This window comes from Homo sapiens, chromosome 1, assembly GCF_000001405.40.
Source record: "Homo sapiens chromosome 1, GRCh38.p14 Primary Assembly".
Classification (NCBI taxonomy): Eukaryota; Metazoa; Chordata; class Mammalia; order Primates; family Hominidae; genus Homo; species Homo sapiens.
In genome coordinates this window covers 102830664-102858074 of record NC_000001.11, presented here as the reverse complement: position 1 = coordinate 102858074, position 27411 = coordinate 102830664, and the positions used below count along the sequence as shown (strand labels likewise).

The window sequence follows — 27411 nt, the reverse complement described above, 5'->3', positions numbered from 1 at the left end:
CCTGAGTCAGAGTATCTATTCACTCTGACATGACTATGCCTTCCATTTTGGTTCTGTGCTCTTACCCATATCCTCTAACTTAAATGCTTTTTTTCTTTTTCATACTTACCCAAATTCTATTTTTATTATTCAACTTTATTTCTATTAAACTTTTGTTTTTATTAAAGCCTCAAATGTTTTCTGATTACTCTAATGCATATTGCTATTTTTATTTTTGAACTCCTACAGTACAAACATGAGGTCTACTTAATTTCAGCCCTTGGTTGCATAGTTGTTTATGTCATATACTGCTGTTTAATGAGTGTTAGTTTAGTCTACCCAAAAAGAGTACAAATGTGTATCCCTCACAGCTTAAAAATCACTTCTAATGATATAATAGGTATGTTATGGGTTGAGTTGTATCCTACAAAAATTCATACATCCAAGTCTTAATCCCAGTATCTCATATGTATTTTATTTGGACACAAGGTCTTTAAAGAGATAATCAAGTTAAAACAAAGTAATAATTGTGAGCCCTAATCCACTATGACTGAAGTCCTTATGAAAAGGAACTTTGGACACAGAGGCAGATACACATAGAGGGAAAACTATGTGAAGAGACACAGGAAGAAGACATTCATTTACAAACCAGGAGAGAGGCCTGGAACAGATCCTCCTCCCACAGCTCTCAGAATGAACTAAGCCTGTCTATATCTCAATTGTCAACTTCCATCCTCTAGAAGTGTGAGAACACAAGTTTCTGTTGTATAAGTGCCTCAGTTTGTGGTACTTTGTTACAGCAGGCCTAGAATACTAGGTATTAAGTAAATATTGTTTGAGTAGATAAAAGACATTAGTGTTAAGCAATAACCCTACATTCTTAAAAAAGAGAGAGTTTTATTAAATTGCTAGGAACTTAAAATTTTTGGATCTCACATTCCAAATGCATAACACAAGATTTTGCTTTCAGTGTGTATCACTCAAAATTAAGCTAGTAACAGGTAAACTAGTTATGTTCCCTATTCTTATTTCTTGGATATGAGGAGAGGAAACACATGCAGCAGGAAAGAAAAAGGTGACTAACAATTACTAAATTTCGAGAGTAAATTGGATTGTTTTGCTCTGTGCAACTATAAAATGGTGATTAACAAACAGGTGCTAAATGTTAATGAAGTATATGAGATTAAAAATAAAATAGGAGTAAAAGTGTACAAAAGTGTATGGATGCAGCTATGACATATGTTCTTTTACTTCTTTTTTTGGATATCCAGTGGTGAATGAGACAGACCTATTCCTCACCTTTGAGACTTCAAAGATAGGCCAGATGTAGGAACAAAACGGCTGATTAGAAGCAGCTGCAGTCCGCAGCACTCACAAAGAGAAATGAAAAGGGGTGAGTGAATTCAGCACCTTCAATGGAAATATCCATGTTCTTGCATTGGGAATAACTAGGTGAACAACTTGACCCATGGAAAATAAAGAAAAGGAGGGGGGTGACAAACCACCCAGGAGTGGCACAGAGCCCAAGGAACCACCACCCCAAGCCAAGGGAAGTGGTGAGTGATAGTGTGACCCCACTCTGTTACAAAGTAACAAGCTAACCTCATGATGACAGGATCAAATTCACACATAACAATACTAACCTTAAATGTAAATGGGCTAAATCCCCCAATTAAAAGACAGAGAATGGCAAGCTGAATAAAGCACCAAGACCCATCGATGTGCTGTCTTCAAGAAACCAATCACACATGCAAAGACACACATAGGCTGAAAATAAGGGAATAGAGGAAAATTTGCCAAGCAATTGAAAAACAGAAAATTGCAAGGATTGCAATCCTATTTTCTGACGTAACAGACTTTAAACCACCAAAGATGAAAATAAAGACAAACAAGGGCATTAAATAATGGTAAAGGGTTTAATTCAACAAGACGACCTAAACATCCTAAACTTAAATACACCCAACAGAGAAGCACCCAGATTCATGAACGAAGTTCTTAGAGACCTACAAAGAGACTTAGTCCCCCACACAAGAATAGTGGGAGATTTTAACACCCCACTGTCAATATTAGATAATCGAGACAGAAAATTAACAAAGATATTTAGGACTTGAACTCAGCTCTGGATCAAGAGGACCTGACAGATATCTGCAGAACTTTCTACCCCAAAACAACAAAATATACATTCTTCTCATTGACACATGTAACTTACTGTAAAATTGATCACATAATTGTAAATAAAACACCCTCAGCAAAAGAACTGAAATAATAACAAGCAGTCTCTCAGACCACAGAGCAATCAAATTAGAACTCAAGATTAAGAAATTCACTCAAAACCACACAATTATCTGGAAATTGAACAACCTGCTCCTGAATGACTTTTCGATAAACAATAAAATTAAGGCAGAAATCAAGAAGTTATTTGAAACTAATGAGAACAAAGACACAATGTAACAGAACCTCTGGGACGTGGCAAAGACAGTGTTAAGAAGGAAATCTATAGAACTAAATGCCCACATCAAAAAGCTAGAAAGATCTCAAGTTAACAACCTAACATCACAACTAAAAGAACTAGAGAACCAAGAACAAACAAATCCCAAAGCTAGCAGAAGACAAGAAATAACCAAAATCAGAGCTGAACTGAAGCAGATAGAGACATGGAAAATCATTAAAAAAAAAATCAGTGAATATAGAAGTAGTTTTTTTGAAAAAAAAAATAAAATTGATAGACTGCTAGCTAGACTAATAAAGAAGAAAAGAAAGAAGAGTCAAGTAAACACAATCAGAAATAAGAGAGATATCACCATCGACCCCACAGAAATACAAACCATCAGAGAATACTATAAACACCTCTAACAACACAAACTAGAAAATCTAGAAGAAATGGATAAATTTCTGGACATGTACCCGCCCCTCCCAAAGCTGAACCAAGAAGAGGTTGAATCCCTGAATATACCAATACAAGTTCTGAGATTGTGGCAGTAATAAATAGCCTACCACGCAAAAAAGGCCCAAGATAAGATAAGACAGATTTACAGTTGAATTCTGTGTCTGGAATTGGCGGGTTCTTGGTCTCACTGACTTCAAGAATGAAGCAGCGGACCCTTGCAGTGAGTGTTACAGTTCTTAAAGATGGTGTGTCCAGAGTTTGTTCCTTCTGATGCTTGGGTGTGTTCAGAGTTTCTTCCTTCCAGTGGGTTCGTGGTCTCACTGGCTTCAGGAGTGAGGGTGCAGAACTTCATGGTGAGTGTTATAGCTCTTAAGGTGGCACGTCTGGAGCTGTTCATTCCTCCTGTCCGGAGTTGTTCCTCCCTCCCGGTGGGCTCGTGGTCTTGCTGGCTTCAGGAGTGAAGCTGCAGACCTTCACGGTGAGTGTTACAGCTCATAAAGGCGGTGCAGACTGAAAGAGTGAGCAGCAGCAGATTTACTGTGAACAGTGAAAGAACAAAGCTTCCACATAGTGGAAGAGTACCTGAGCAGGTCTCTGTTGCTGGCTCGGGCAGCCTGCTTTTATTCCCTTATCTGGCCCCACCCACATCCTGCTGATCGGTCCATTTTACAGAGAGCTGATTGGTCCATTTTGACAGGGTGCTGACTGGTGTGTTTACAATCCCTGAGCTAGACACAGAGTGCTGATTGGTGTATTTACAATCCTCCAGCTAGACGTAAATTTCTCCAAGTCCCCACTAGATTAGCTAGACACAGAGCACTGATTGGTGGGTATACAAACCTTTAGCTAGACACAGAGTGCTGATTGGTGCATTTACAATCCCTGAGCTAGACACAGAGCACTGATTGGTGTGGTTACAAACCTCTAGCTAGACATAAAAGTTCTCCAAGTCACCACCCCACTCAGGAGCCCAGCTGGCTTCACCTAGTAGATCCTGTGTGCTGAGCTGCCCGCCAGTCCCGCACCGCGCGTCCGCACTCCTCAGCCTTGGGCGGTCCATGGGACCAGGCGGTCGAGGGGACCGGGCGCCCTGGAGCAGGGGGCGGCGCCCATCGGGGAGGCTCGGTGGGCGCCGGAGCCCATGAAGGGTGGGGGAAGCTCGAGCATGGCGGGCTGCAGGTCCCGAGCCCTGCCCCATGGCGGGGTGGCTGAGGCCCGGCGAGAATTCAAGCGCTGCGCGGGCGGACCGGCAGTGCTGAGGGACCCGGCGCAACCTCTACAGCTGCTGGCCCAGGTGCTAAGCTGGTCACTGCCCGCGGCCGTTGGCGCCAGCCGGCTGCTCCGAGTGCGGGGCCCGCTGAGCCCGTGACCACCCGGAACTGGCGCTGGCCCGAGCGCTGCGCGCAGCCCCGGTTCCCGCCTGCGTCTCTCCCGCCACACCTCCCCTCAAGCAGAGGGAGCCGGTTCCGACCTAGGCCTGCCCAGAGAGGGGCCCCTTCAGCGCAGTGGTGGGCTGAAGAGCTCCTTGAGCATGGCCAGAGTGAACGCCCATGCCGAGGAGGCGCTGAGAGCGAGGGAGGGCTGCTAGCACGTTGTCACCTCTCAGAAGGACATGAGGTAATTTATCTCAGTGGCTCTAATGTTCATTAGTAGCCCAGGAGGGTGTCTGTGGGTAAATGATCTTTGAGACCCCCAAGTTATGTAGAAAATTTCCATCTGAATGGCAGTGAGAGAGAGAAAGTGCATGAAGAAAGGGAACATAATGATTACATCATGAATCTAGTGGAAAAAATCTTGGCAGACCAAAAGTCTGAGTAGAATTTCCTTTTTTTTTTTTTTTTTTTGGAGTATTGCTGTGAGAATGTTTTCCTCTTCCTCTCACCACACCAAAAAGTTCTGTAGTGTAGTTCTGAAACTTTCTGTTAAACAGACTGCAGCTCCTGCAGGCTGCTGCCCAACCTGGCCTGACACATTAAGAATAAGAAATAAAATAGTAAGACATGCCTTAGAGACTTGCTTAAAGTTCTGCAGTGAGGAGAAGCACAGATCTGTCCACCAAAATTGAAAACCCAAAGCAATACTTCAGAGATAAAACAATACCAGAAAGAGAAACAAGCTATCATTAACAGAACAATTTAAAACATCTGCTGACGATTTAGTCTCACAACTCAACTTTGGCAGAAGAAAATTCAATATTGTTCAATGAAATAAAGTATTGAGGGAAATAAAATCCCAGTGCCTAATATAACAATAGTATTAATGGCTGCAGATTCTGTGTGACAGATGCATTCAGCTGCCACTGCAGAGGCAGCTGCACAGCAATATACCAACTTGAGGCATAATAAACTATTCAGTATAGACAGACTCATTCCCAAGACAGAGTGATTTGGGCAGATATCCCATGTCCTACTCTTTGAGGGAGTCCTGCCCTACTGCCAGCAGTCAGTTGGACAATGATTATTTGAGCCAGGGGGAGCTGTTTGCCAGATGGAGCTGAAAAACTACATGAGACATGATTCCACCATAAGTTGGCCTAAATTGTTCTGATTTCCAAAGCCGCTAAGGGATATTACTATGAGCCACGGGAGAATTATTTGCATGAAAACCCCTAGAACCCTTTGTAGAAATCATTAAAGAGATTGTAGTGTAATAGAAGTCTTTAATTGGTGACCAAAGAGCCAAATCTGGCACTCAGACCTATGTTGTGTGGTCACATACACCTTTTATTTTTTTAACTTTTTATTTAGATGCTAACCTCTAAAAGCCTGAATTTCTGGCTTCTCTTGAAAATTTGGAGAATCTGATAAAATGAAAAGTGCCCACCGCATCTGTTAGATAGGGGCATGCATTCTCTAATTTGCTGTGTCCTCTTGCACTCGCTGTTGTTTTGCTTATATTTGTTGCTCCAGTTTCATTGGTCCTTGTAGGCATTTGAGCCCTAAAACAGAGGACAAATATTTTTAACAAAAGCAGCAAAAGAGGATAAATATTAAGAAATATTGATCAGAGAAGAAATTTGTTTTCCAAAAGAAAAGCAGAAATTATGATATATTAATAAATCCAGTAGAAATTGGGCAGATCAGCCAGTTATTGTGGAAACGGAGTCAGATCTCATGAGAAGTAATTGAAATAACAAAAAAGGTAAAACAGGCTATATTATGGGATGGCTTACACTCTTTCAACCAGAATAGCGAAGGCAGTCACGAACCAAGTGAAGATGCTGTCAAAGTAAAATCTTTATCAAAGCTCGCCTGTATTTAGGATCTCCTCTCTGGTTTGATCTTATACAATGGCATCATAAAGAAAATATATTTTGCAAATGAAGTCATTAATAATTTGAGGATGGCTCATCCCTGGTTGAGATAGCTCCACATTGAATATCTGAAGAGGAATGTGGAAAGAATTTGTGTCAGAGGCAAAGAACATCATGAAGGACATCTGACTTACATGCCAAAGAGGTAACCTGAGCCTCGATGCTTCAGATGGCTTCATGGCACTGCTGTGATCTTGTCAAACTCAAAAAATTACTGATGTTTATAAAGAAACCTCTGAAATCTGGAGCTCAGCCCTGAAATAAAGCAGAGAGATGCTCACTCTCCTGGGTTCCTGTGTAAGGGTTTGAAGAATGTAGAGACAACTTCTCAGACTACTCTCTCTGTCCTTACCATCTTCCTGGAGGGCTGGGCTGTCCAAGAACATAAGAACACAGACAACAGCATAGTATATAAACTGACTGCTCCTAGACTCTGAAACACTGAGCTTCAAGGGCTCTGAGGATTGTGCCCTTGGACTGGAACCATGCCCCACACAACCGCCTGTGCTGATCTAGAAAGGATGTTACATTCAATTCACTACATTTTATTTTTTACTAAATCCCCTTTAAAGATTTATTGAACGTGTTGGAGAGGAAGTTAGATAAACAAGAAAGTCTTTTAAAACTCTTCTGAAAAGTCAAAAGAAAAAGGCAGATCAGTCAAGTACGGGGCCTTACAACAGGGATGGGGTTTGGCTTCCCCCACCAAGTCTCCATTAATACCACAGTGGGAGTGACCTGATTACTCCTGGGCAAGGGTAAAAGTCCTGACTTCCTAATGGGCCTCTGCCACCACTCCAGTAGAGACAAGGGGATGCCTTGTTACTTTCCTGCCAATTAGGGGCAGAAGTTTAGGCTTCCCATTGATTTCTATTGATAACACAGGGAAGAGCTCACTGCCAACAGTGGAAATGAAAGTCCCAGCATCTTCAGTGGCTATGTCTGCTATCATCCTTGCAGGGATGTAGGGAGCTTTGTTACAGCCTCACAAGGATGGAAGTGTGTGATCCTCACTGAGTCTTTCTTGATGTCAATAAGGTGACACCACCTGTTTTCAGTTGGAGTAGTGCAGTTACTATGTAAAAATTTTTGGCCTTGCTAGGCTCCTCCTTTTCTGGCCCTGTACGTAGAGCGAATAAACTTTTCTTTGGACTTTTTATGTCCATGTCTGTTGGCATTTCTGGGTTGCCAGCTTCTTCAACTCCAAATTTGGAATATATGAGGCAGAAAGAAAACCCAAGTGTTACAGAACAAATAGTGTCTCCCAAATAGTTATGTCCACTTGGAACCTCAGAATGTGCTTTTATTTGGAAATATTGTCTTTGCAGATGAATTCAAGTTAAGTTGAGTTTATACATGATTAAGGTGGACTCTTATCCAATATGGCTGGAGTCCTTACAAGAAGAGAGAATAGAGAGGTACAAAAATACAGAGATTGTAAAGGGAGAAATAAAACCATTCCTATTTGCAGATAAGTTGGTTGTCTATGTAGAAATTCCAAAGGCATCTACAAAAATAAAAAGTAAAAAATCTCAAACTAATAAATGCATTCAACATGGTTGAAGGATGCAAGATTAATGTAACAGCAATCTATTGCTGTATACTAGCAATAAACACATAGACATCAGAATTGAAAATACAGTACCATTTATAACTGCTAAAAATAAAATATTCATGTGTAAACATAACAAAACCTGTACAGGACTTGTAAGCTGAAAACTACACAACACTGATGAAAAAAATCAAAGGTTATTTATAAAAATGAAGAGAAATACTGTAGTCATGTATTGAAGTATCAATAAAGTTCTCAATTCTCAAAAATTGATATATAAGTTTAATTGAGTTCCTGTAAAAATCCAAGCAAGATTTTTTGCAGGTGTGTACAAGATTACTCTAAAATGTGTATTGAAAGCCAAAGCCACTAGAATAGCTAAAACAATTTTGAAAAAAAATAAGAATAAAGTGGGACAACTGCTCTTTCTGATTGCAAGACATTTTTCACTATAGTAATCAACACTGTGTGTGGTATTGGGAGACTAGACAAATAGATCAATGGAAAAGAATAGAGAACTCAGAAATAGACACAAATTTGCCCAATAAATTTCTGATAAAGGCACAAAAGTAATCCAATGGAGGAAGATAGCCTTTTCAGCATATGATGCTGAAACAATTGCAAATAAATAAATAAAACTTGTGCTACATCTCATATCTTATACAAAATTAACTCCTCCTGGATGATTGACTAAAATATGAAATGTAAAACTGTAAAACTTAAGAAAAAAGAAAGGAACTTATCTTTTATATTTATGTTTTCATTTTTTAAAATTTTAATTTTGGTGGGTATATAGTAGGCTTCTATATCTATGAAATACCTGAAAGCTTTGATTACAAGCATACAATACATAATAATCACATCATGTAAAAAGGGGGTATCCATCCCCTCCAAGCATTTATCTTTTGTGTTACAAATAATCCAATTATACTCTTTTACTTATTTTAAAACCAATAATCAAATTATTGTTGACTATGGTCACCCTAATGTGATATTAAATACTAGGTCTTATTCATTCTTTTTAACTATTTTTTTTCTATCCGTTACCATCTCCACCTCCCCATCATCACCTCACTATTCTTCCTAGTCTCTGATAACCATCTTTATACTCTCTATAAGTTCAATTGTTTTGAATTTTAGATCCCACAAATAAGTGATAACATGCAATGTTTGTCTTTCTGTGCCTGGCTTATTTTACTTAGCATAATGACCTCCAGTTCCAATCATCTTGTTGCAAATGACAGGATTTCATTCATTTTTATGGCTGAACAGTATTCCATTGTGTATAAGTACTAAATTTCTTTATCCCTTTATCTGTGATGGACACCTACGTTGCTTCCAAATCTTAGCTATTGTGAACAGTGCTACAACAAACATGGAAGTGCAGATGTCTGTTCAAGATACTGGTTTCCTTTCTTTTTGATGTAAGCAAAGCAGTGAAATTGCTGGATCCTATGGTAGTCCTATTTTTAGATTTTTTTTTGAGGAACCTCCAAACTGTTCTCCATAGTGGTAGTACTAATTTACATTGCCACCAACAGTGTTTGAGGGTTCCTTTTTCCCCACATCTTCGCCAGCATTTGTTGCCTGTCTTTTGGATATAGGCCATTTTAACTGGAATAAGATGATATCTCATTGTTTTGATTTACATTTCTCTGATGATCAGTGATGTTGTATGTCTTTTCATATGCTTGTTTGTCATTTGTATGTCTTCTTTTGAGAAATACATATTTAAATATTTTACTGATTTTTAAAATCTATTGAATTTTCTGTATGGAGTTTGAGCTCCTTATATATTTGGTTTATTAATCCCTTGTGAGATGGGTAGTTTGCAAATATTTTATCTCCTTCCGTGGGTTGTCTCATCACTTTGTTGACTGTTTCTCCTTGCTGTACAGAGTCTTCTTTAACTTGATGTGATCCCATTTGTCCATTTTTGCTTTGGTTACCTGTGCTTGTGAGGTACTGGGCAAGAAATGTTTGCCCAGGACAATGTCCTGGAGAGTTTCCCCCATGTATTCTGATAGTAGTTATACAGTTTGGGTTCTTAGATATAAGCCTTTTATCCATTTTAATTTGATTTTTGCATACAGAAAGAGGTAGAGTTCTAGTTTCATTCTTCTACATAGAAATATTCAGTTTTCCCAGTACCATTTATTAAAGAGACTGTATTTTTTCCATTGTATGTACATTGTTGGAAACTTTGTTGAAGATGAGTTAACTGTAGGCGTGTGGATTTGTTTCTGGATTCTCTATTCTTTTGGTTTATGTGTCTGTTTTTATGCTAGTACCATACTGTTTTGGTTACTATAGCTCTGTAGTATAATTTGAAGTCAGGTAACGTGATTCCTATAGTTTTCTTTTTCTGTGTGCTTAGAAGACTTTTGTCTATTTTGGGTCTTTAGTGTTTCCATATAAATTTTAGAATTTTTTTTTCTGTTTCTGTGAAGAATATCACTGGCATTTTGATAGGCACTGCACTGAATCTGTAGAATGCTTTGGATAGCATGAACATTTTAATAATATTGATTCTTGAAATCTATAAACATGGAATATCTTTTTATTTTTTGGTGTCCTTTTCAATTTCTTTCATCAATGTTTTATAGTTTTTATTATAGGGATCTTTTACTTTTTTGGTTAATTACTAAGTATTTAATTTTATATGTGGCTATTGTGAATGGGATTGCTTTTTTTATTTCTTTTCAAGATTGTTCACTATTGGCTTATAGAAATGCAACTGATTTTTGGAATGTTGATTTTGTATCCCACAACTACTCAACTTGTTTATTAGTTCTAACAGTTCTTTTATGGAGTCAAGGTTTTTCCAAATATATCCCTGAAAGCAAGGATAATTTGACTTCTTCCTTTCCAATTTGAATGCTTTCTATTCATTTCTCTCATCTGATTTCTCTAGCTAGTATTTCCAGTGTATGTCGAGTAACAGTGGTGAAAGTTGGAATCCTTGTCATGTTCCAGATTTTAGAGAAAGGGGTTCCAGTTTTTCCCCATTCAGTTTAATACTAGTTGTGGGTCTGTCATATGTGGCTTTTATTATGCTGAGATATATTTTTTCTATATCCAGTTTTTTGAGAGTTTTTAATCATAAAAATATGTTGAATTTTATTAAATGCTCTTTCAACATCAATTGAAGTGATCATATTGTTTTTGTCCTTCATTCTGTTGATATGATGTATCACATTGATGATTTGCATATGGTGAAGAATCCTTGCATCCCAGAAATAAATTCTACTTGGTCATAATGAATAGTATTTTTAATATATTGTTTAATTTGATTTGGTTTGCTAGTATTTTGTTGAAGATTTTTGCATCAATATTCATCATGGATATTGGCCTGTAGTTTTCTTTTCTTTTTTTTTCATGTGTTTTTGGTTTTAGTGTCAGGGCCTCACAGAATGAGTTTGAAAGTATTCTATTCTCCTTTGTTTTTTGGAATAGTTTGAGTAGGATGTTATTAGTTAGGTATTTGGTGGAATTCAGAAGTGAAGTCACTGGGACCCAGGCTTTTCTTTAGTGGGAAATTTTGTATTATGGCTTTGATCTTGTTACTTGTTATTGATCTGTTCAGAATTTAGATTTCTTCCTGGTTCTATCTTAGTAGGTTGTATGTGTATAGCAATTTGTCCATTTCTTCTAATTTTTTTCCCAATTTATTGGCATATAGTTGTTCATAGTATTCACTAATGATCCTTTGAACTTCTGCAGTATCGGTTGTAATGTCTAATGTCTCCTTTTTCATCTCAGGTTTTATTTACTTGAATCTTCTCTATTTTTTTCCTTAGTCTGGCTAAAGGTTTGTCTATTTTGTTTAAATTTTCAAATAAACGAACTTTTTGTTTCATTTACCTTTTGTATTGTTTTTCTTTAATTTTATTTATTTTTGCTCTGATCTTAATTATGCCTTTTCTTCTACTAATTCTGGTTTGGTTTCCTCTTGCTTTTCTAGTTCTTTTAGACACATAAGTCGATTGTTTCTTTGAAGTTTTTTTTTTTTCTTTTTTGATGTAGGCACTTGTGGGTATAAACTCCTCTTAGTACTATTTTTGCTGTATCTCATAGGTTTTGGTTTGTTGCATTTTCATAATCATTTGTTTCAAGAAACTTTTCAATTTCTTTCTTAATTTCTTCAATGACCCACTGGTCATCCAGAACCATGTTGTATAACTTCTAACTATTTGTATAGTTTCCAAAATTCTTCTTGTTATTGATTTTCAATGTGGTCAGTGTAGATGTTCGCTATTATTTAATTTTTTGAATGTTTTATGACTTGCTTTGTGACCTAACATATGGTCTATCCTTGAGAATGATCCATATGTTGAGGAAAAGAATGTGTATTCTGCAGCCATTGGATGAAATGTTTTGTAAATATCAGGTTTATTTGGTCTATAGTGAAGATTAAATCCGATTTTTTTTGTTGATTTTCTGTTGGAAAGTATGTCCGTTGTAGAAAGTGGGGTGTTGAAGTCTCCAGCTATCATGATATTGGGGCCTATCTCTCTCTTCAGCTCTGATAATATTTGCTTTATATATCTGGGTGCTCCAAGTATGTCCGTTGTAGAAAGTGGGGTGTTGAAGTCTCCAGCTATCATGATATTGGGGCCTATCTCTCTCTTCAGCTCTGATAATATTTGCTTTATATATCTGGGTGCTCCAGTGTTGGGTGCATATATATTTATAATTGTTGTTATCTTATTGCTTAATTAACCTCTTTATCATTATATACTGTATTAGGCCATTCTTGCATTGCTATAGAGAAATACCTGAGACTGGGTAATTTATACAGAATGGAGGGTTAGTGGGCTAACGACTTTGCAAGCTGTATAGGAAGCATGATACTGACATCTGCTTGGCTTCTGGAGAGGCCTTAAGAAACTTACAATCATGGCAAATGCAAAGAGGAAGCAGGCATGTCACATGGCCAGAGCAGGTGCAAGAGAGCAAGGGGAGACGTCTCATGCTACACACTTCGAAATGACCAGATCTCAAGAGAACTCACTCTCTATTGCCAAGAGAGTACCAAGAGAAATGGTGCTAAACCATTCATGAGAAATCTGCCCCCGTGATCCACTCACCTCCCACCAGGCCCCACCTCCAATATTAGGCATTACATTTCAATATGAGATTTGAGTGGGGACACACATCCAAACTACATCATACAGTGACCTTCTTTTCCTTTCCTTTTACTTTTTGCCTTGAAATCCACTTTCTCTGACATAAGTGTAACTATTACTGCTCTTTTATGGTTTACATTGGTATGGAATATCTTTTTTCATCTTATTTTCAGTCTATGTGTGCCTTAATAGGTGAAGTATATTTATTGTAGGCAACAGATTATTGGGTCTTCTTTTTTTATCCATTCAGTCACACTATGTCTTTTGATTGGTGAGTTTAGTCCATTTACATTTAAGTTATTAAATTATTATTAAGTGTATTAATAATAAACTTAATAATAAGTAAGAACTTTTATTATTGATAAGTAAGAACTTATTCCTGCCATTTTATTGATAAGTAAGAACTTATTCCTGTCATTTTGTTATTCATTTTCTGATCTTCTCTTCCTCCTTTCTTTTCTTTCTGTCTTTTAGTAAAGGTGATTTTCTCTGGTGATATGATTTAGTTTCATGCTTTTTATTTTTTTGTGCACCTGCTATACGTTTTTTGGTTACAGGTTAAAACGAGGATTGCAAATACTATCTTATAACACATATTTTAAGTTGATTACAACTGAAAATATTTTGCATATACTAACAAACATACAAACAAGCAAGAAGAAAACTAATAGGCTCTACGCCTTAATTTTATCCTTCATTTTTTTCACTTTTTGTTGTTTCTATTTATATCTTATTTTATGGTCTATGTCTTGAAAAGTTGTTGTAGTTATTATTTTAGAATGGTTCATCTTTTAGACTTTCTTTTTAAGATAAGAGTAGTTTACACACTACAATTACGGTGTTATAATATTCTGTATTTTTCTGCATGCTTACTATTAGCAGTGAGTTTTGTAGCTTCAGATGATTTCTTTATAGCTCATTAATGTCCTTTTCTTTCTGATTGAAGTACTCTCTTGAGAATATCTTGTAGAATAGGTCTGGTGTTAATTAAATCTCTCACCTTTTGTTTTTCCTTCATGTTTCTCACCTTTTGTTTCTCCTTCATGTTTGAAGCATACTTTTGCCTGATATATTATTCAAGGGTAAGCTTTTAATTTTTTTTCCTTTAGCACTTTAAATACGTCATGCCACTCTTTCGTGGCCTGTTAGGTTTTCTTCTATGGAAAAACTGGTGCCAAAAATATTGGATCTCCATTCTCTTGCTGCTTCTTGGATCCTTTTTTAATCTTTGACCTTTGGGAGTTTGATTATCAAATGCCTTGAGGTTGTCTTCTTTGGGTTAAATCTGCTTGGTGTTCTACAACCTATTTGTACTTAAATATTGATATCTTTTTCTAGGTTTGGGAAGTTCTCTCTTATTATCCCTTTGAATAAACCTTCTACCCCTATCTGTCTACCACCTCTTTAACACCAATAACTCTAAGATTTGCTGTTTTAAGGCATTTTCTATGCTGTAGATGTGCTTCATTTTTAATCTTTTTATTTTGTCTCCTCTGATATTGTATTTTCAAATAGCCTGTCTTCAAGCTCACTAATTCTTTCTTCTGCTTGATCGGTTCAGCTATTAAAAGACTGATATATTCTTTAGTATCCCAATTGCATTTTTCAGCCACAGAATATCTACTTAATTATTTTTAATTACTTCAATTTCTTGTTAAATTTGTCTGATTTAATTCTACATTCTTTCTGTGTGTTATTTTGAATTTCTCTGAATTTCCTCAAAACAGCTATTTTGAAATCTCTGTATGAAAGGTTACATATCTCAGCTTCTCCCCCTGGTGCCTTATTTAGTCCATTTGGTGAAGTCCTGTTTCCCTTCATGGTCTTGATACTTACAGATGTTTGTCTCTGTGTTACCATTGAAGAGTTAGACATTTATTGTATTCTTCTCTGTCTGGGTTTCTCTGTATTTGTCATTCTTGGGAAGGCTTTTCAGATATTCAGATTGACTTGAGAGTTGTAACCTAAGCTATATCTGTTTTAGGGTTTACCTTATGCCTAGTAATGCTGTGGTTCTTGCAAACTCATAGAAGTCCTGCCTTGATGGCCTTGAAAAAGACCCAGAAGAATTATATGGATTACCAGGCAAAGACCTTTGTTCTCTTCTCTTACTTTTCCCCAAAAAGAGCCTCTCTCTCTCTGTTCTGAGCCACCTGAAGCTGGGGCTAGAGTAACACAAGCATCCATGTGGCCACCAGCACTAGAATTTCACTTCGTTAGATCTAAAGCCAGCACAGCACTGGGTCTTGGCCAAGGCCTTGGCCAAGGCCTGCTGTAACCACTTTCTGGTTACTGCCTACGTTTATTTAAGGCCCTAGGGCTCTACAATCTTCCCAGGTGGTAAAGCCAGCCAAGACTGTGTCCTTCCGTTTAGGGCAGTGAGCTCCCCAAGGTACTGAAGAGGTCCTTGATGTTCTATTATACTATGGCTGAGCTGGCACTAAAACCACAAGACAGAATCCTTCCCACACTTTCCTCCCCTTTTGAAAGGCAGAGGAGCCTAACCCCTTAGCCACTGCTGCCACAGACCCACAGAGAGTACTGTGAGACTACTGCCAATATTCCCCTAAGGCCCAAGGACTCTTCAGTCAGCTTGTGGTGAATTGTACTTGGCCTGGGACTCACCCTTCAGACCACTGGGTTCCCTTCAGGCCCACAGCAGGTCTAGAAACAATGTGATGGAAGATTATCTTTGAAATCTGAGGCTGGACATCAAGTTATTAAACATGATTCCAAAAGCAGCATGATCCATAAAAGAAAAATTTTGCCCATTTTTAAATTGGGATTTTTTTTCCCATTCAGCTGTTTGAACTTCTTATATATTCTGATTATTAATCCTTTATAAGATGGATGGTTTGCAAATATTTTCTTCCATTTTGTGAGCTGTCTCTTTGCTTTTTTTTTTTTCCTATGCTATGCAGAAGCTTTTTCACTTAACGTAATTTCATTTGTCCATTTTTGCTTTGGTTGCATGAGCTTTTGAGATCTTACTCAAGAAATCTTCACAAAGACCAATGTCCTGTAGTGTTTCTACAAAGTTTTCATCTAATGTTTTCTTAGTTTCAATCCTTGGATTTAACTCTTTAATTCCTTTTGCTTTGACCTTTGCATATGGCATAAGATAGGATTCTAGTTTCATTCTTATGCATATGGATAGTCAGCAACCCCAGAAAAATTTGAAGAGACTGTCCTTTCCCCAGTGTATTTTCTTGGACTTTTTTTTTTTTTTTTTGACAGCGTCTCACTCTGTCACCCAGACTGGAGTGCAATGGTCTAATCTCAGCTCACTGCAACCTTCACCTCCCGGGTTCAAGCTATTCTCCTGCCTCAGCCTCCTGAGTAGCTGGGATTATAGGCACGTACCACAATGCCAAGCATTTTTGTATTTTTTTAGTAGAAACAGGGTTTCACCATGTTGGTCAGGCTGGTCTCAAACTCTTAAACTTGTGATCTGCCCACGTTGGCCTTCCAAAGTGCTGTGATTACAGGTGTCAGCCACTGCACCTGGCCTTCTTGGCACTTTTGTCACAAAATAAGTTAACTGTAAATGCATATAATTCTGGGTTCTCTATTCTGTTCATGTGTCTGTTTTTATGCTACCATGCTGTTATGACTCATATAGCATTGTAGTATAATTTGAAGTGGGTTTGAATAAACATTTATTAAGGGAAGATATACAAGTGACCAACCAGTATATTAAAAAGTCCTCAACATTACTAATCATCAGAGAAATGCAAATCAAAACTACAGTAAGATATCATCTCACCCCAGTTAAACTGGATTTTATCTGAGAGACAGGTAATAACAGATGCTGGTGAAGATGTGGAGAATGAGGAACCCTTATATACTGTTGGTAGGAATGTATCTTACTACAGAGAACAGTAAAGAGATTCCTCAAAAAGCTAAAAATAGAATTACCTTATAATCCAGCAATCCCACTGCTGGTATATATCCAAAAGAAAAGCAATCAGTATATTAAAGAGATATGATGCAGCCCCAATCCCTGTTGCACTGAACAAAGAGGGACGAATGTGGGAATAAAGATAAAGATAAAATAGTATATTTGGAAGAAGAGGTCAGGGGGCTCCTTGCTTCTAGTGAACAAGGGCCCTGAGCTTTTTGCTCCCTTCGTGTTTATTGAGTAAAGGAGAAGGGGAGAAGGGGGTGGTTGTCAGATAGCTGCTTGATTCAGTGCGGGCTTGCATGGCTGCATTTTCTGAACAGTAGTCTCCAGATGTTCCAGTAGATAACCTCAAGGAACATGGCTCCAGGGAGTGATTGCACTCAGCATACGTTCTGGCGGCAGGAATAGTCATGAGTTTGCCTACACCCTGCATTAATGATAAACATTTTGCTGTTTGATCATATTGCCTCCAGTGGAATGATGAGTTAGTCGTGACCCACATGCCTTTGGCTCCTTACATTTCCCCCTTTCTGTTTATGTATTAATTGAATGAATGTAAGGCCAGGCTGGACAGCTCTCATTTTCTGATTGGCAGTCCATCTGATTTTACAGACTACAAACAGAAAACAGAGACAAAACAACATTATTCCAAGAACTGCATATGAGATGTTAATGTGGTGCTTTATGTAGGTCCAAGGATTTAGGTTCTTCAGGCCTTGCTGGAATTCTATCCAGTCTTCTAAAGAAGGCTGAAACTCTTGAGTTTGCTTACTTAAATAAGGAATTCTGTTTTGTAATTTGCCAATATCAAAGGTGATGTTGGGTGTGAAAGCTCCCTGCAAATGGGCTTTCACAAGGTCCCGTGGATACTCACTTTGGTTATATTCTAAGTTGGTTACACAAATATGAGTGTGATTAAAATAACAGCACAATTGCTGTTGCAATTGTAAGATTTATACTTGTTCTTCTAACCCTAGAACTGTGGATTTCAACATAGCCACTTCAGTTTGTAACTCAGTGTTAATTTTATTCTGAAGTAGCCACACTTGGTTGGCTGTATGTGTCCAGTTCTCTATGTACTGAGCCGTTTGAACAGAACTATGCAAAGCTACAGAGGACATCACAACAGAAGTTATTAGTGTGACCAAGGAAACAATAGCAAATATTATCATGCCTAAAGCTCTACGGGCATGATGAGAAGGCTGAGTTAGAAGTAGTTTCACGAAGTGCAAAGCACGGATGGCAGCCTAAGGCTTGGACAGATTAATGGGAATCCATAGCCCAGGGATGCAACCCAAAATTATTAAGTAGAGATATTATGTGTTTGCAATGTGCTATGATTAATGCAGTGATATAACTGGCAAGATTTACAGTTCAATTGGGTATTGTTTACCTGGAGCTGGTCCTTCTTAGCTGCCAAAAAGTCATAAGGATTAAAAACAAAAATCATAAATTGAGTGGTGATATTCTTTACAAATGTAAGGTTAAGACTGTGTTGCTTACTATTGCTATTATTGCATAGTATCCCAACCTAGATGCTGCCATTCATAAATGGGAGTGCTGCCTTCCATAGTGTCTCTTGGACTGGTCCTTTCCTCCCTAGATGATGCCACTGAGGAAGAGGCAGGCTAAAGCCTGCTTTTGCCAAGCAATCTGGGCAGCAGACTGGGATTGGATCCCAGTGTAGTATAAAGAAGCAGCATTAAAAGTTTGCCACTAATGCCAGTGAAGTTTGTGGCATGATTTCTGGTTTTCATCTTTTCCATATAGTTGACCTTTAGGTCGCCAATCCACAATGTCTCCAGTTAACATAGGTTGTTTTCCAGCCAATGGGCCAAGACACTGTTTCCATGGAGCAGGGTAGAAACTATCGAAGGGAATCCATTCCATATAGTCAGCACAATTGGAGTGATTGGACTGGGAATGGTTGGTTAGCATACCAATTACATTAATACAACCAAGACTTAATAGGTACATGACTTTTCCATAGCGACTCAACCATTCTTGAGCTTGAATTATAAAGACAGCTATGGTTGAGTGACATCTTTGTAGTGTCAAGGGGAGTCCTTCTTGTGGGGCAGTATAATTAATGACATTGTTCTGAGAGTCTAACTGTTCTGTGTCAGGGGGAGTTAGGGGTCCTGGAGTCCATGCTCCCTGATCATGATAGATCTCAGGGGAGTGTCACTCCAAAGTACAGTTCATACTACTGGGGGATTGGGAACATATGCCCAATATGCTTTTGCCTCTGCACAGGGAAAACATACTGCACAGGACATTGTGGCTAACATGGCCAAGAACATGGAATCAGGGGTTTTTGCTTGGCCTTGATGCTCCAGTAGTTTCTCAGCTTTCTGTTGGTTTTCTTGACTTGCCCCCAGCTTATGGTGGTTGATGTCATCGTGACTCCAGTTGGCCTTCTCTCTGTCTTTGCACTCAGGCTCAGCTGGCTCATGGCTTGTACAAGAGGGACTAGGCCCATGGTTGGCCACCCAGGGTTTCTCCAGTCTCCCATGGTCGCATGAACCTTGAGGGCACCCATACAGTTTGTCCATCTCCTGTAAAAACAAGCATACCCTCATCCCCACGTTAATAAATCCACCGGACCTTTCCATTATCCTTCTTCCGGGGATTTCCATACATTTTTGGATAAACATTTTTCTTTTCCTCTAACACTTTCCAATGTCTTTCTGCTGGAGTCTTACCATCCGTATCAGGAGTCAAAAAAATTAAAGTAAATAAGACTAAATATAGTTTTGTTTGAGGTGGTAAATGGTCTCCTATTCCTCCTTTCTGTTTATTCAACATACGTTTTAATGTTTGATGTGCCCGCTCTATAATGCCTTGTCCTCTAGGATTATAAGGAATTCCTGTTTTATGGGTTATAGCCCAAAGCTGTAAGAAATTTTGAAAAAACTAACTAGTATAAGCAAGTCCATTGTCAGTTTTTAATTGTTTAGGAATCCCCATGTGAGCAAATGATGACAGACAATGTCGCTGTACATGACCAGCTGTCTCAGCTGTTTGGCATGTATCATGCAGCATATGAGAATAACTGTCCATAGTCACATGAACATAGCTAAGCTTGCCAAAGGCTGCGATATGTGTAATATCCATTTTCCAGATTTCATTTGGAGCCAAATCTTGTGGGTTACAGCCTTCTACAGGTGTGGCTCCAGGGACTTGCTGGCAAGTAGAAGAGGCTTGTATTATAGCCCTAGCTTTGCTGCAAAACAAGTGAAACATGCGAGTAAGAGCAGAAGTATTTTGGTGCAGTAGCGCATGAGAGGCTTGAGCTTGCTGAAACACAGATCCAATCAATTTATCTGCTCTATCATTACCTAGAGATAGTGGTCCAGGAAGTTGTGTGAGAGTGAATATGAGAAATATGAAAAGGAGCTATGTAAGAGGGAATAGCTTGTTGAAGTCTTAGAAACAAGCAGTTCTGTTTCTAGGGTACATTTAATTGCAGCAGTTTCTATGCGACTGGCTACATTTAAAAAAAATCTGAATCACAGACAATGTTGATAGGATCTAAAGCTATGAGCTGTAAAACCTGAATGACTACAATTAACTCTGAGCTGAAACCCCAGAGGTCATTATTGTTTGAGTATGTTTAGGTCCATAAATAACTGCATGACCTTTGGAAGAGCCATCAGTAAAATAAGTCTGGCCACCTGAAATAGGCTTGTGATGAGTAATCACAGGAAGAATTAAAGAATGGACTTTATAAAACTGCAAAATTTTGTCTGAGGGTTAGTGGTTGTCTGTTATTCCCAAGAAGTTTGCAAAAGTGATTTGCCATGCAATTGACATTTCCCAAGCTGTGGCCTGTTGCTAAGTGTCTAAGGGAACAATAATTTTGTCTGGATCCTATCCCATAAGCATCTTTGACCTATGCTTATCTATTGTCACAATTTGTGTAATTAAAGAAAGATAGACTTGCAAGGTTTTGACTGTTTGATTAGGTAGAAAGAGCCATTCTATTACTGTTACAGATATGTCTAAGCATTGGCCTAGAAGTCCTGTTGGAGAGTGGGGGGTAGGAAGAACAAACTAAAGCAAAGGTTGGTGTGGCTGTAGCCATGAGGAATGTCGTTATTGAAACATCTGCTCTATAAGCTGTAACTCTGCTTTGGCCTCTTTGCTCAATTGCCACGGGGAATTTAATGAAGAATCTCCTTGCATGGTTTAACCTGTCTTTCCAGGTATTGATACCAGGTTAGAGTTTCCTTGTAGGAATTTCCCTAAACCTTTTCCACTCTAATATCCCATGTCTTCAACATTTTAAATCCTGGGTTATCAAAGTTTTTATTTGTAAGTCTCATATCCCATGCTGTACTTATATTTGCAATATAAGGCTAGAAAGTACATGATTATCCATCCAGACCAAGACAAGGTAAAATCTCAGCACTCTTTTGAACACGTTGAACTGCTCCTACTCCCACTAAGGATGTGGAGGTTAGTCTGAGAGGCCATGCTGGGGGACCAGTCCTTACAGGATATTACTGACACATCAGCTCCTGTGTCCATAAGCCCATAAAATTTCTTTCCTTTAATTCTTTTTTTTTTTTATTTTAAGATCGTGTTAGGAAGATTTGAAAAAAATCGTACAGTTTCCATATACCCTTCATTCAGTTTCCCCTATGTTAACATCTTACATAACCAATGCACTTATCTCTGAGAAACTACCATAGGCACAATGCTATTAAACTACAGATTTTTTTTATTATACTTTAAGTTTTAGGGTACATGCGCACAACATGCAGGTTAGTTACATATGTATACATGTGCCATGTTGGTGTGCTGCACCCGTCAACTCATCATTTAACATTAGGTATATCTCCTAATGCTATCCCTCCCCCCTCCCCCCACCCTGCCACAAGCCCCGGTGTGTGATGTTCCCCTTCCTCTGTCCATGTGTTCTCATTGTTCAATTCCCACCTATGAGTGAGAACATGCAGTGTTTGGTTTTCTGTCCTTGTGATAGTTTTCTGAGAATGATGGTTTCCAGCTTCATCCATATCCCTACAAAGGACGTGAACTCATCCTTTTTTATGGCTGCATAGTATTCCATGAAGTGTATGTGCCACATTTTCTTAATCCAGTCTATCATTGCTGGACATTTGGCTTGGTTCCAAGTCTTTGCTATCATGAATAGTGCCACAATAAACATACGTGTGCATGTGTCTTTATAGCAGCATGATTTATAATCCTTTGGGTATATACCCAGTAATGGGATTGCTGGGTCAAATGGTATTTCTAGTTCAAGATCCCTGAGGAATCGCCACACTGACTTCCACAATGGTTGAACTAGTTTACAGTCCCACCAACAGTGTAAAAGCATTCCTATTTCTCCACATCCTTTAATTCATACTACACAGATGGGTCTATTAGAGGCTATGAGTTGGGATATATAGATTTTTCATGTAGTTGTGCTCCAAACTCTTCATTTCCTCATTTCTCCTTTCATGGAGAAGGGTGTAATTTGCAGGGAATAAGCAATAGTTGAGCAATATATTCTTCCAGTTCAAAAACCTAAAGATTTTGTGACATTAAAGCTACATGAATTTCTCCTTCATAATCAGAGTCAGCTACTGCTGGGACTACAGTAATGTCTTGCAAGTTAAGGGGCTTTTGCCTGAAATTAGTCCTGCTGGTAAAGGTCCGCAAATGCCAGTGGGAACTTTGGTAGTTTTGTCTCTTCCAACTAATGTAATTCTTTCTCTGATTAGGAGATCTAATCTTGCATTTCCTGGTGTTCCTGGGGTGAGGGAATCAATGGTTCTCCTGGGACCCAATCCTGAAACAGGGTAGTGGCCTGGACTGGGAATGCCCTCATTATTTGTGGGGCCTGAGTCCAGGCCCCCTTCTCATTTCCCGACAGGGGGGTGCTATTTTGATGAAATTTTGAGCAGCATTGATTAGCCCAGTGATTTCGTTTGTTACAGCGAGGACAGAGTCCTGGTATTTTTTTCTGCTGTGGGGTGGAGGAACTACATAATAAAATCCTTGCTGTCCTCAGATCTTGTGGCATTCCTTTTTAAATGTCCAGTTTTTCCACAGTTATAACATTTTCCCATTTTAGAATTTGACCCTTGGCTCTTTTTAGATTTGTCAACTGCTAAATTAGTCATTGCTTGCACTCACATTGCAGAGTGATGAAGCTCAGTTCCTACATCCTGACAAGCTCTGAGAAAATTTCCTAAGTTTGTTGTACACCTCATTGGTGCCAGTGCACATTTACAATCCATGTTTGCATTCTCAAAAGCTAAAGTTAAGGTTAGCATTTCTGCATGAGTGGTATGAGGAATCTGAAGCTTCACTGCCTCTTGTAATCTTGTGAGAAAATGTGCATAGGGCTCCTATGACCCTTGCATGATACATACAAAGGAGTGTACTGGAACTCCCTCTTCTGGAATTGTGGCCCGGGCACATTTAGCAGTCTGTGCACAATGCTGATAAGCAGCATTTGGGATTGTCATTTGATGTTCTAGGTCTGAATAAGGGCCATTACCTAACAGCATATCCTCTGTAATGTCTTCCTGTCTGGCAGCACAATTCTGTCTAGCCTGGTCTGCACACATTTCTTGTCAATTTAAATTCCATGTCAGATATGCACTAGCAGACAAACAAGTTTGAGCAAATGTTTTACATCAAAGGGTAGAAGGCACATATCACCAAACACAGATTCTAGCAATTCTAAAGTGAATGGACTCTTTACTCCACTATTAACTATACTAGCTTTTAATCCCTTCAATAACTTAAACTCTAATGAGGTGTGTTTATAAGTATACTGCTGTGGATTATTTGGATCAGGCCTTACGGAAATAAGAAAAGCACAACATCCTAAGGGCTCTCCAGCTATGGCAGCAGAGCCTAAAATTCTTTGTATTGGTGTCCCTATTTTTGCTACCAAAGGAGGCGGTACAGATGTTTCTGCTATTGGAGGGGGAGGTATAGGCCAATTTTTATCCTCCCTTTTCTGTTTTTTTTTATTTTTATTTTCAATTGGTGCTGTTTAACAGCAGATTCTTTCAGATTTTTAGGCTCAGAACATGACTCCTGCTGTCCAGCAGAATAAGAAGGAGACAATGGCAGAAGGACAGTAGAAACTAAACTGCAAGTGGAGGAAACAGAAGGATCAACTTTAAGACCTTTTTGATGAGGCCATTTTAATCCTTCTCTTGCTCTGTCCTAATTTTCCACATCAAAACTGCCTGTCTGTGGAAACCATGGGTTATGCATAATAACCTCCTGCAGAAGCTTAGTTAGTGTCTGCAAATTAACCTGAGTTCCAGACTGTCTCAACAGAACTTGAAGCAACTGCACATAATGATTTTCTTCAACAGACTAATTATGCCCCATGTTACCCTGATTCAGAAAACTTCTCACTCCCAGTACTTCTTTCCAGCACTGACCTTATATCATTCCCAGTACCTCTTTAGGGCACTGAACAGTACTTCTTTAGGGCACTGTCCTTATATCTGCTGTTGGCAGACTCCTCCCGAGGTCCCCGTTCATCTTGTCAGTTTCACTTCCTCTGCTCCAACGGACCTTCTTCATTCGCGTCCTTGAAGTCCCTGTTCAGGCACCACTTTGACGCAGCCCCAATCCCTGTTGGACTGAACAAAGGGGGACGAGTGCAGGAATAAACATAAAGACAAAAGAGTATGTTTGGAAGAAGGGGTCAGGGGGCTCCTTGTTTCTAGTGAACATGGGCCCTGAGATTTTAGCTCCCTTTGTATTTATTGAGTAAAGGAGATAGGGAGAAGGGAGTGGTTGTCAGTCAGCTGCTTGATTTGGTGCAGGCTTGCATGACTGCACTCTCTGAACAGTAGTCTCCAGATGTTCCAGTAGATAACATCAAGGAGCATGGCACCAGGGAGTGATTGCACTCAGCATACCTTCTGGCGGCAGGAGCAGTCGTGAGTTTTCCCACATCCTGCATTCATGATAAACAGTTTGCTGTTTGATCATATAGCCTCCAGCAGAATGCTGAGTTGGTCATGACCCACAGGCCTTCAGCCCCCTACAGAGATACCTGCACTCCCATGTTTATTGCTACACTGTTCACAATACCCAAAATATTGAATCAACCTAAAGCCTATTAACAGGTCAATGGATAAATAAATGGTGATACATATATACACAATGGAATATTATTTAGCTTTAAAAATAATTAAATCCTGTCATGTCATGTGCAACAACGTAGATGGTACTGGAGGACATTATGTTAAGTGGAGTAAGCCAGACATAAAAACAAATATTGCCTGCACTCACTCATATATGGAAGCTAAATAAATAAACTCATGGAAATAGAATGATGGTTACCAGAGGCTGGGAAGTTTAATGAGGAAGAAAGGATTCAAATGGGATGTTTAATGGCTACAGAAATACAATTAGATAGAAGAAATAAGACCTAGGGTTTGGTAGGACAATAAGGTTACTGTAGTTAACAAAAATTTACTGGCTACAATTAGTCATTACTGGTAATGTTAGAAACAAAATGCTTGCTCCTCGATTGTGAGAAGTAAAATGCTTGTTCCTCAGTGCTGCAAAGAAATAGCACTCAAACACAAAATTTTTCAGCAAGGCAATTTTTACTTCTTTTTTTAATTAGTATTTATTTTCTTTTTTAATTTTTATATATATATTTTTTTTATTATACTTTAAGTTCTGGGGTACATGAGCACAACATGCAGGTTTGCTACATATGTATACATGTGCCATGTTGGTGTGCTGCATCAATTAACTTGTCATTTACATTAGGTATATCTCCTAATGCTATTCCTCCTCCCTCACCCCACCCCACCACAAGCCCTGGTGTGTGATGTTCCCCTTCCTGTGTCCAAGTGTTCTCATTGTTCAATTCCCACCTATGAGTGAGAACATGTGGTGTTTGGTTTTTTGTCCTTGCGATAGTTTGCTGAGAATGATGGCTTCCAGTTTCATCCATGTCCCTACAAAGGACATGAACTCATCATTTTTTATGGCGCATAGTATTCCATGGTGTATATGTGCCACATTTTCTTAATCCAGTCTATCATTGTTGGACATTTGGGTTGATTGCAAGTCTTTGCTATTGTGAGCAGTGCTGCAATAAATATACGTGTGCATGTGTCTTTATAGCAGCAGGATTTATAATCCTTTGGGTATATACCCAGTAATGGGATTGCTGGGTCAAATGGTATTTCTAGTTCTAGATCCCTGACGAATTTCCACACTGTCTTCCACAATGGTTGAAATAGTTCACAGTCCCACCAACCATGTAAAAGTGTTCCTATTTCTCCACATCCTCTCCAGCACCTGTTGTTTCCTGACTTTTTAATGATTGCCATTCTAACTGGTGTGAGATGATATCTCATTGTGGTTTTGATTTGCATTTCTCTGATGGCCAGTGATGGTGAGCATTTTTTCATGTGTCTTTTGGCTGCATAAATGTCTTCTTTTGAGAACTGTCTGTTCATATCCTTCACTCACTTTTTGATGGGGATGTTTGTTTTTTTCTTTGTAAATTTGTTTGAGTTCTTTGTAGATTCTAAATATTAGCCCTTTGTCAGATGAGTAGGTTGCAAAAATTTTCTCCCATTCTGTAGGTTGCCTGTTCACTCTGATAGTAGTTTGTTTTGCTGTGCAGAATCTCTTGAGTTTAATTAGATCCCATTTGTCAATTTTGGCTTTTGTTGTCATTGCTTTTGGTGTTTTAGATATGAAATCCTTGCCCATGCCTATGTCCTGAATGGTATTGCCTAGGTTTTCTTCTAGGGTTTTTATGGTTTTAGGTCTAATATTTAACTCTTTAATCCATCTTGAGTTAATTTTTGTATAAGGTGTAAGGAAGGCATCCAGTTTCAGCTTTTCACATATGGCTAGTCTGTTTTCCCAGCAACATTTGTTGAATAGGGAATCCTTTCCCCATTTCTTGTTTTTGTCAGGTTTCTCAAAGATCAGATAGTTGTAGATGTGTGGTATTAATTCTGAGGGCTCTGTTCTGTGCCATTGGTCTATATCTGTGTTTTAGTATCAGTACCATGCTGTTTTGGTTACTGTAGCCTTGTAGTGTAGTTTGATGTCAGGTAGCGTGATGCCTCCAGCTTTGTTCTTTTGTCTTAAGATTGACTTGGCAATGCGGGCTCTTTTTTGGTTCCATATGAACTTTAAAGTAGTTTTTTCCAATTCTGTGAAGAAAGCCCTTGGTAACTTGTTGGGGATGGCATTGAATCTATAAATTACCTTGGGCAGTATGACCATTTTCATGATATTGATTCTTCGTATTCATGAGTATGGAATGTTCCTCCATTTGTTTGTATCCTCTTTTATTTCGTTGAGCAGTGCTTTGTAGTTCTCCTTGAAGAGGTCCTTCACATCCTTTGTAAGTTGGATTCCTAGGTATTTTATTCTCTTTGAAGCAATTGTGAATGGGAGTTCACTCATGATTTGGCTCTCTGTATGTCTGTTATTGGTGTATAAGAATGCTTGTGATTTTTGTACATTGATTTTGTATCCTGAGACTTTGCCGAAGTTGCCTATCAGCTTAAGGAGATTTTGGGCTGAAACGATGGGGTTTTCTAGAATACAATCATGTCATCTGCAAACAGGGACAATTTGACTTCCTCTTTTCCTAATTGAATACCCTTTATTTCC

The 27411-nt window shown here is 38.7% G+C and overlaps 1 long non-coding RNA gene across 1 annotated transcript; it reads right to left on the bottom strand.

The window, feature by feature from the left end:
* Positions 1–5621: 5621 nt before the first annotated feature.
* LOC107985096 (uncharacterized) lies at positions 5622–24487 on the bottom strand. Its single transcript, XR_001738168.2, has 3 exons — positions 24186–24487; positions 6314–6434; positions 5622–5804 (listed from the first exon to the last, which is right to left on the bottom strand). It is a non-coding gene; the product is annotated as an uncharacterized LOC107985096 (long non-coding RNA).
* Positions 24488–27411: the final 2924 nt, after the last annotated feature.